This window comes from Homo sapiens, chromosome 8 (genome assembly GCF_000001405.40).
Source record: "Homo sapiens chromosome 8, GRCh38.p14 Primary Assembly".
NCBI lineage: Eukaryota > Metazoa > Chordata > Mammalia > Primates > Hominidae > Homo > Homo sapiens.
This window is the reverse complement of record NC_000008.11, coordinates 35786263-35796876: the sequence shown is the minus strand read 5'-3', so window position 1 is coordinate 35796876 and position 10614 is coordinate 35786263. Positions and strand designations below refer to the sequence as shown.

The 10614-nt window shown below is 38.2% G+C and overlaps 1 protein-coding gene across 17 annotated transcripts in view; it reads right to left on the bottom strand.

Moving 5' to 3' along the window:
* Positions 1 to 336: 336 nt before the first annotated feature.
* UNC5D (unc-5 netrin receptor D) overlaps positions 337 to 10614 on the bottom strand; it is a 561066-nt gene continuing 550788 nt past the window's right edge. For all 17 annotated transcript variants that reach the window (NM_001438417.1, NM_001438418.1, NM_080872.4 and 14 more), the window contains one exon: positions 337 to 6518. In NM_001438417.1, coding sequence (NP_001425346.1) covers positions 6314 to 6518 — 205 coding nt within the window. In that variant the 3' untranslated portion in view covers positions 337 to 6313. The remainder of the gene's footprint in view (positions 6519 to 10614) is intronic.

Genomic DNA, 10614 nt, shown 5'->3' with positions numbered 1-10614 from the left:
TGATTGGTATTCCAGTATTCCAGTTATGGTATGGCTATGATGACCTTGGATTGTATGAAACTATATCCTAAGGAAGTGTGTGTGTGTGTGTGTGTGTGTGTGTGTATGGTTACTGGCTGGGGTGGGAATGTTAGAAGACAATCTTCTTGCTTCCAGTAGCCTCACAACACTGCCTCACTCTCAAGGCTTGAGCAAGAAATTTGGTTCCATATGTTAACAGGTATTTGGAAATTGTCCTTTCGGAGAGCATTCCATCTCCTGCTAGGACATGGCAGGAGGTATACAAATCTCATCCTCATCGAGATTTCAAAGTGCCACTCATGTAGTATCCTAAAATGTCAATAAAAGACTCTTTATTCATAAATAACTGATATGCAGTAATTTACGTCTGTACATTTATCTTGAAAAGTCTGCAACCATCCAGTTTTTTTTTTTTTTTTTTTTTTTGCAAACTCGACATAAAACATCCAAACCGTCCATTTTGTTCAATACAATATAACAGAGCTGTTTGGCATTACCAAATATATATGTATATATATTTATAGATATGTACATGTGCTGAAAAAGAAGCCAGTGCAGCCTTTTCTAAGAAGTCCATCCAAGTTTACTGTACAACATTCAGAATTTACATTGATAATACAAGGCACAAAAAGTGTGGTATGAAGCCAAGGCTATGCTTCATTCAACCTCTCTCCTCTGGCTTGCTCAGTCCTTCAGCTTCATGTCAAATTAAGTGTTCAGCCCTGCTTTATTTTATTTTATTTTTTGGCTTTGAACACATCAAATAAAAGTTGAGAGTGGTATGGGTTTGAGATGTGAATCACTTGAAAGAACACCCCCACGCACCTTCCCAAAATAAACAGAAAAAAATGAAATCTGTTTTAAAATCTTCATGCAGAAATGGAGGTACGCAAGTACTCATATTTTTTGAGTTTGGGTCAGAAGAATGAGCCAGTTTTCCTTTAAATGCTTAGGTTGGAAATGTTTCTAGGTTGAGACTTCCTGGAGTGTATGTACCAATCAGACATGATTATGAAGAATGGGTAATTCTGAGTCTTTATTCCAATTTGGAAAAGGAGAACATTGTTCTTCCAACCAGAAAATTCCCAGATTCTGAGTGCTTTTCCACCTTTGTATAGAAAAGTTTTGAATGGTAGTGACCTACATAATCTAGCCATAAGCCTTGGAGAGTGTTTCTGATTGAAAGTTTTCAGTTACCCTCTGCTGAGGCTTATATTTCTGATACCTGGCACAGGGTGCTGTGTCTCTCAGCATCACTGGAACTAGTTAATGGAGGGATATTGGAATTATTAGGTCTATTTCTGATTGTAATGTCTGTGTTTCAGTAATGGGGTCATAAGGCATGATATTCTGCTGATAAACTCCCCTCAAATATTGTCTCTCCCTTCTATGATTCACCAGAACCATAGTTAAATCTCCACCTACAGAAATGAAAATTTAAGAGAATTATATAATTTGGCCAATTTTGGGATTTGAGTGTAAACAGTGCTTGAAATTAGTGAAATACTTTTTAGGGTTAGCAAAACTGGAGGCAAAGGGGCATTTCCATTGTAATCATGCCTTTTGTGAAAGTATTTTGACACACATTCCCATTCATGCAAAGAACTACCTTACCAAATTTAGTAATATAGTCTATAATTCAAAGCTATAACTTTTTTGAAAAATAAGTAAGATGGGGCCCTGCTGAACTCAATATTAGTAGTGGGGAAGGGAATTTTTAAGCTTAGGCATAACCATGAAGCTTGATGCCTTTTTTATCTTTGGGTCAGATGGAGGGCGGGTGCTAGGACATGAAGTTTAAATGTTACTGCCTTAGGTCCACCTCACGAGGACATTCCCAATCCATGATCTTCACAGCAAAAGGAAAAAGCAATGAGTAGCTGCTTCAAAAACCACAATTATTCTATGTCAGTTAAATTTCCTACTTCAGATCACGGTACTACACACTAGTGACTAACGGCCAGGTCTGATTTCCATCCCCTGTTACTTTTCGAAGAATTACAGTGTACAAGTTGCCATTTCAATGTCATGAATGACCCTGGAGTGGGGATGTCAGGAGTTCATGGTAGACACTGGCTCTCCTAGAATTGCTTTTGTAAAAACACCACATGCTGTCAATACAGCCAAACAGCTTTGTAACGGCAGCTTTTGAAAGAGTTTGGAACGTAAAAACACAAAATATGCAACACATCTAAGATTAGTAACATTTTCACTTTTGTGACATTGGACAAAATACATTTTTGCTTGTAGTTCAGGAAAATTCTATGCAGACAAAACAGTGGAAACTACGGAAACGGTGGTCATTCAGCTTTTGGCTAAAGCATCGATTTTCAAATACAGCACTATGGCAACTAACACCAAAGGCGAATAAAATTGTGTCATTCTCTGTAGGCCAACATTTTGCTCTCCCATTTGCTGTGGCCATCACCTCTAATCCAGTCAATGAGAGTTACTGAGGATTCAAACTCTGCAATGTTTCATGAGGAAACAATGACAATGGGCCACAGACAGTGGGCCGGAGAGGAAGATTTCTCAGCTCCTTCACGATTCCTGTGACCTTTACAGAGCTGGAACAGAGACCTCTGCGAGAACTTTGCCTTCAATACATCTGATAGCTATATCACTCAACACATTTACAGAGGGCAGAGGGACTAAGAAATTGAAGAGAAAATGGCTAAAAGGAAAAACAAAAGCATATCAAGAGATTTTATAACATTTTGAAATTCACAGGTAAATTTGCCAGAAGTTTGGCAGTAGAAGATATTATCTAAAACCAATTATCCTATTTTAATCATCTACATTTGTTTATCAATCCTGATGCTGAGAATGTTTCTCAAGGAAAATAGTTGCAATAAATCCAGAACTTTTAATCCAAAGAGAACCCTGTTTTAGTGATTTGACTTAACATCCCCTCCCAAAGACAACTGAAAGAAAAATACAGAGACCTTGGCAAAAGACACCACCTGCAGTTGGAGATAAAAATAATAATAAAAAAGTTCTTCTCTTTAAAGAGAACTGTGTCAATTCTTTTTCATCTCTTACAAAAAGGCCAATAAAATTTTTGTGGGAGTACATCTGAGTTTTATGAGACTTCCTGCACTGGTAAATGAAGTTTGCATTTAAATCCATAGAGCAAGCTTCCTTTTGGCTTAAAGGATTTTAATGTAAACCAGTAAGAATGTAGAAGCAATGTTGTAAAAACTGTAAATTAACTTTATGATGCTACAGTCTGGTGAATCTGTGAAGTGCACCATTTTGGTGGCATAATTTAAAGCCATATTTAAAGCATGACTATTGGACTTAAATGCCTTTGAGGACTGAAAGATTTGGCATTGAGTGGGATATTTTTGTAAAAATTTTAAGTAACTTACCAAGTACTCGAGGCCACTTTTAATTTTGTTTCATTTTGCAATAGGACAATAAAATTTCCAAATTAAGTGCTTGGATAGATGAGTAAATCTCTTTCAAGAGGGGTATTTGTGTTGTGACAGGCACATATTACAATAGGACTAAATTTAGGTCACAGTGAATAACTAAGTTCAAGTGTAAGCTCACTTTTTATCTGATCTGCAATTCTACCTCCTCCACCACACCTTGGTCTGTAAATCTCACAAATGTGGGTTCTCTTTGAAATTGTATTGTAACATACTGTGCAATCCTGACATGCAGTGACCACAGAATTTCATACATTTCTATAGAAATCCTATGTAGGATCCTAGCAGCAATAAGTAAAAGAAACATAAAGAAGAAACAAGACAGGCTGAAGGATGAATTTGATTGAATCTTAGGCTGAAGTCTGAGGTGAATTAAGTTAACTTCCTCCTTTGTTATCCTATATGATATGATGTTCAAGTTGTTTATAAAACCCAGGCCAAAGGAAAAAAAAATCCATGGGAGGTAACTCCAGACATTCAGGGATTGACAATAATCTTGTCTCATCTTAAAATAATCTAGATAGATTTGAGGGAAAATCATTTAGAATTTTCATCTATTTAAAAATACTTAAAATGTATCAAACATCTAAAAAAAAAGACCTATGTAGATTCACAGAGTAGATGAAACAATTATAATGCCCATTAGAAGGGAAGAGGGAAAATGCTAAAGACAGTTTAAAACAAAAATCCTCCAAGATGGATTCCAACATAAGCTCTATAATGTGCTTTCTACAAGTTTTTACTCAATAGTGAATGCAGCTTTCCTCTGCACACCACCTCATGCCAACCAACTAGTGACTGGTTGACCATCTACTTCTCTTTCTCTTTCAGAAATTCTATCAGTGATGCCAGATGATTTACATTTTCATGCTGTTTATCTATTGTTTCCTAGAAGAAATAAATAAGTTAAGCACACTAGCAAAAGGGTGTTTTCCTGATCTTGACATGGTATTGTGAAAATATGCTTGACAGTTCTAAGATGATTTCTTTGTCCTACATCATAAGCCTTTGGTTCCTGAGAAAAGCGAGATGCTTTTGAATTACATGTAGCAAAGACTTCTATCTAATATAGGGGACCATACATACCACATGTTAGTTAGAGAAAATGGCCAACACATTCAAGAGTTCTTCCATGCCTTACCCATGGTATCACAAATTCAACTCATCTTTAGGCCTTTTTCACTTGGCATGGAGATTCACAACATTATTATTATTATTTTACAAGGGATCTACAAAAAACTTGTTTAAAAAAATGGATCATATCCCAACTGCCAAGTACTCCCCAACTCCCCACCTCCCCCATTCCCTGACTACTTTTTATTCGAATGTAACCAACCTCTAAGTAGCTGACTAGCTGCCTTGTGGTTCATCTGGGTCCTTGACTTTGGTTGTCCTGATTGTGAATAGCAAGTTAAAATATCCACCAGAAGATGAGCAAGAGCAAATCTGTTCACCTTTAGTCTACCAGGACATCTTGTCAAAAATAATTTAATAGGATAAAAAGATGGAGTAAAGTGATAAGATGAGGGTCATGAATTATCTGTGGATTTCAATCTTCCACAATATCACTGCCTCCTAATGTAAAAAAAAAAATCATAGAGCAATAGCCATATGTTAGTGGTTCTATAGAGAAAGCATATTCAGGGAGGCTGAATAGTCACAGGGTGAAGGCTTCCTGAATGATGCATGTGGTTTCAGGGACACTGTGGTAGAGGATTCCTCAAGTCTATTTACTCAGATATCATTTAGAGCAAAGACTATCTGCTAATTTCCCAAGAGGCAAAATGAGGATCACATATAGCCTTACTGAGAGATTTTGTGATGACACAGTACCCACATGTTAGACAATTTCAAGAATCTGGATTGAAAAATGCAGTAAACTCATTTTCTTATAACAACAATGTTAGATAACTAGATCAACACGTGTCTCCTAGAATTACAGCTGATTTGAGGCCTATGGCATCTGCAGTTCATGTGTTTTTGAACCTGCTTTAATCTCTCCTGTCCCCATATCCATGTAATAAGCTGTGTTCTAATAGCACTCAGCAATTTGAGTGGCTTAGATGGGAATAGAGATGGTCCCACTTTGTTGTGTTAGAAAAAACAACTTTCCGTATTGACAAGTTTAATTATGCTCCTTGATACCTCCCTACTGCAAGGGGTAAGGAAGAGGAAGAAAGAATAAGGGTAGATTTGTCTCAGGAAAAAAGTAAAAGGTGGAGTACACTATAAGAACTAGTTTGTGGTCTGTCTTACCTCTCCATTGTGTCTCCATTAAGTGGCTAGAAGAGACAGGGAGCTGGTGCTGGTGTGATGTGCTCAGATTCTAAATTCTAAATGCCCTCCTTGACGTTGTTGAAGTCATACAAATGGGTTGGCAACCCTGTTTCACGTCTAAAAGCCATTTTTACAATGATCTCTGACATCACAGATGCCAGTTGGTAGAAAACTCTGACAATCTAGTACCAGAATCAGCTGGCCCTTTGGGGCACATCATTAAAAACCTATTTCAAAGCATGCACTTAATCAATCTCTGCCTTCCCAGCATTATCATAGCTCATCTTTTCCCACAGCTACTTCTGCCCTCACTTTTATCCTTGCCACTCCAAATCTGAGGAGTTAACCCAAATGTGGATTCCAAGGAGATAGTAGAGCCCTCTTATATGTAAGAGAGCTTGTACTCTTCCCTATTAACATGTTTTACCTATATAAAATTTAGTTTCTTCAACAGGGGAATCTCACTGATTATAAATGAAGGCTGAATTCCCCCAACGCCACTGGGCAGAAAGCGGCCTCTTTCCCATTTAAAGCAAATGTCCCCAAGCTGGCCATCACTCTGTCTCATGGGAGGAAGTGGACTAGAGTCCATTTTGCCTGCTGTAGTTGAAGTCGGCTTCATCAAGCTGGGATTCTGAAATGTTTGAGAGTTTCGTGTGTGTCCTCCCAATCTCTTCAAGGGCACAGGCCAGGGAGTCAAGATCACCATCATGCTGATGACGAGCTTCCCACAGGTTCAAAATGACAGCAGATGGGCTACTTTGTGTAGCGAAATAAGATAAATTCCTAGATGGAGAGAGTTAAACACAAAGAACAAAACGAAACATGAAAATAAAGGAATAAACACTGATCACCATAAGAGAATTAAAAATGAATTTTAATAGATGTTATTATAGTAGGGATAAAAAGCTATAGTAAGGCAGGTCTGGGGCAGTCTAATTTGTATCCCAGCACTCAGTTGAAACTGTGCTGTGGAATGTTACCAATAACCTTATCTCCCAAGTCTTGTTTTGTCTTTCTTGTTTGTTTTAGATACAGGGTCTTGCTCTGTCACCCAGGCTGGAGTGCAATGGCACAGTCACAGCTCACTGCAGCCTTGACCTCCTGGGCTTAAGTGATCCTCTTGCCTCAGCCTCCCAAAATGTTGGGATTACAAGTATGAGACACCATGTTTGGCCCCAAGTCTTTTGGGTCCTCACTTTCCTTGAACTCTGTGTGTGTGTGTGTGTGTGTGTGTGTGTGTGTGTGTTTTCTTCTTGACTATCCCCTTGACATGCTCTATTTCATTAGTTTATGTCATACTTTCACTCATTCCTATTTTTTCAAAATATTTGACCCCTCTCTACTTTGGCAAACATAAGAGCTTTCAAGGTTTTACCTTTGATTTCTTGTTGTTCTTTCCTTCCTCAGTGGGCTTATATGCTAAATGGAGTAGTTATCAAACAACATAGATAGTATTGTAAATCTATACCTCCAATCTTTAAGTTAATGTGAGCTAATTACAGATCTCTAAATGGCCTTGGGATTGTTCCAGTTACAGATGCCTCTAGCTCCACAAACGCAATGCATCAGAAACTGGTGTCTCCGTGCCTCCAAACTGGTCCTTCTTCTAACTAGAACAAGTATCCCAGTATTTATAACCATCTTTCTAATCTCTCACACTAGACCATTTGTTTTTGATTCTTCCTTTTATATTTTTTTTCTTTTTAACGTACTCATCAGCTTCTCCGTTGCTCTCCATGTTTACTACCTATACCTAATTTATACTCTGTCACTTTATGGTCTAAATCACAGCAAAATCTTTAGTTTTTCAAAACTCGAATATACTCTGCATTCTAGTTCCTCAGTCATGAAATATCTACTCTAGTTGTCTTCAATGACTTCCTTGGTCTGGCCTTGATCTAGCTATGGATATTGATATAAATATCCATAGCTAGATATGGATATCCCTATCTCATATATATATATATATATATATATATATATATATATATATATATATATATAGTCTTTTCTCCCACTCAGTCTTATTTTGCTCTTTGAGCCACTGACCCTGAGTTAGGTAACACTTTGCTTCTTGCTTTAATTTAATCCATTCAGTTCACTAGAAAGGTCCACTTCGTCCCTTTCTCCTCTTTATCAAGATCATACACACCCACAAATAGACAAGTTTAATTATGCTCATTGATACCTCTCTACTACAAGGGGCAAGAAAGAGGAAGAACGAACAAGGGTAGATTTGTCTCGGGAAAAAATGGTTCAGTTTTTTGTGTGTGTCTCAATGGTTCGAAATCCCAGTGGTGTTTGGCTGTGTCCAATGGTTCAATTCTCATCTCCTCTTTTCCCAGAATGATTTATGTCTTCTCTGAACTCTTTTTATGTTTGTACTTAACTTTCATGTGAATAAGATGCTTATCTATTTCGTGTGTGTGTGTGTGTGTGTGCGTGTGTGTGTTTTCTGCCTTCCCAATTTGACCACAAACACCTGAAGGGTAAGGATCATATCTACTGATTTTCTGAAACTGCTACAGCACTTATGATAATACTATGATAGGTGTTTATTCAACATTCTTCAGCCAAGTAATTGATTCCTACAGTGCTTTTTAAGATGGCATGCTGTCTTCAGTAAAAGCATGGTAAGCTTTAGGACAGTAACTTTTCTATGACGAAGACAAAGACAACACAAAAGATTACAGGTCACTGTTCTTCATAGGGACTTTTACAGTAAGGATAGAAATGTCATCTCTGGTAAAATTCTGATGAGTTGAAAAGATTTTCCAGAGCCAGCCAAGTATTTCCTATTTTGAGGATGGTATTACTTTCCCTTACCACACCCAGCTTATGGTCACAAAGACGACTGATGTAGAGTGGAGCATTCAGACTACAGACAAGCTTTTAAGGACGCGTTGCCATTTATAAGAGCCACAGATGCATGCACGCACACACACACACACACACACAGCAATTCTGAGTGAATAAAGTGCTGTTTTATTCAAAGGTCTTAAGATCCTGTTTACAGTCAGTTGGTTGCCAAACAGCACTACAAGTATGTTCCACTAATAGACATCTTTAATTGTGAAATAGAAAAGGCCGGCTTAAAAACATTCTCTCTAGTTTTTCTTTTTGTTTTTCTTTCCTTCCTCCTTTTCTTTTTTCTTTAATGGTTATTCATTGCTATACTAATAGAAATGGCAAAGCAAATCTTGCTTAAGTAGTTGAAGGGATCTTAGTTCCTCTTATTTAAGAAATTTGTTTTGGCTGAGTGTGGTGGCCCAGGCGGGAGGATCACTTGAGGCCAGGAGTTCAAGACCAGCCTGGAAAACATAGCAAGACTTCTGTCTCCACAAAAATAAAATAAATTAGCCAGGGTGCAGTGGTGCACACCTGTAGTCCCAGCTACTCAGGAGGTTCCAGTAGGAGGATCACATAAGCCCAGGAGTTCAAAGCTGCAGAGAGCTATGATTGTACCACTGCATTCCAGGCTGGGCAGCAGAGTGAGACCCTGTCTCAAAAAAAGACAAACAAACAAAAAAACCGAACAACTTTGTTTTGAATATTGGCACTTGTTCCTTGTCATGTAGAGATGTTTGTAGGGAAAGTTGCAATATCTTCCTATAAACACTGTCACCAAAACCCAGGTAGAAGGCACACTGAAGGAACAGCTGGGAGAGAGGCAAATGGAGAGACGAGGCCTGAGTGGACTCTGGGTCACCTGTGTGACAATCTTCTTTTATGTCCATCATGAGAATGATGACCATGGACATTCTTTTGTTTCTAGCATGGGTAAATGATTCTTTATGATCTCTATTGTTGTTTCAAAAACAACAGCTACAACAAAAAAGCAGCAGTACTTTCTCCTTATTAAGGATTTATAGTTACATTTTGTATTTGCTATCAAACAACGATGAACTTTTGCCCTATGGGAATGACTAGAATCTTTGTGAGCCTACTACCTTAAAAGTTAACACTCTATTCTATACCAGGGGTTGACAAACTTTCTCTGTAAATGACCAGATAGTCAATGTTTTTGGTTTTCGGGGCCACATGTGGTCCGTGTTGCTGCTACTCTACTCTGCCTTGGTATTGCAAAAACAGACAGAAACAATATGTTAAGTGAATGAGCGTGGCTGTGTCCCAATAAAACTTTATGTGGCACACTGATACTTGATTGATTGTCACACAGATTTCATATGTGGCACAATATTACTCTTTTGATTTTTTTTCAGACCATTTAAAAATGCGAAAACCATCCTTAGCTCATGGGCTGTATACAAGCAGGTGGTGGGCCAAATGTGGCCTGCAGGCCACCATGCTGACCTCGCTCCTCTGCTGTCTGTCTTGTAACCTAAAGTAGGTTTCCATAGCTAGTAGTGATTTGAAAGAAGATCAGGCTGAACTTCCTGCATTTGAAATAAGCAACTAGATGGCCAAAGTTGCTGAATCTCTAGCTCTATGTCCTGCCTCAGGCACTCTGAGAACTTTATCCTAGGTAAATGTTTGGGGATCTTTGACATTTCAAGACATGACAGGAACACCAGGGCATAAAAACGCAATAACAGAACCTTTAGAGAGGCATACAAACTAGGTTTTGAGGCTTCTAATGAATCATTGTCTCAACACAATATTAAAAATATTGGTGAGTACACCTGCCTCAAGAAAGAGAAGGGCTGGAGAATGACTCCTGCCAGTCACATGGTTCTGAAAAGTTCTGCAAATGTCCTGATTTGTGGAATAGGCACCCACGGCTAAACGAAGCTAAATGATCAAAAGAGGCAGAAACCTAACTCTCCTGGCACAGGTCTCTGAGCATATTGTAGCAAGTGAAATGTGCTCCCCAAAGCAAATTTTAAATTTATTCTTTGAATTTGCACAAGCACATTCA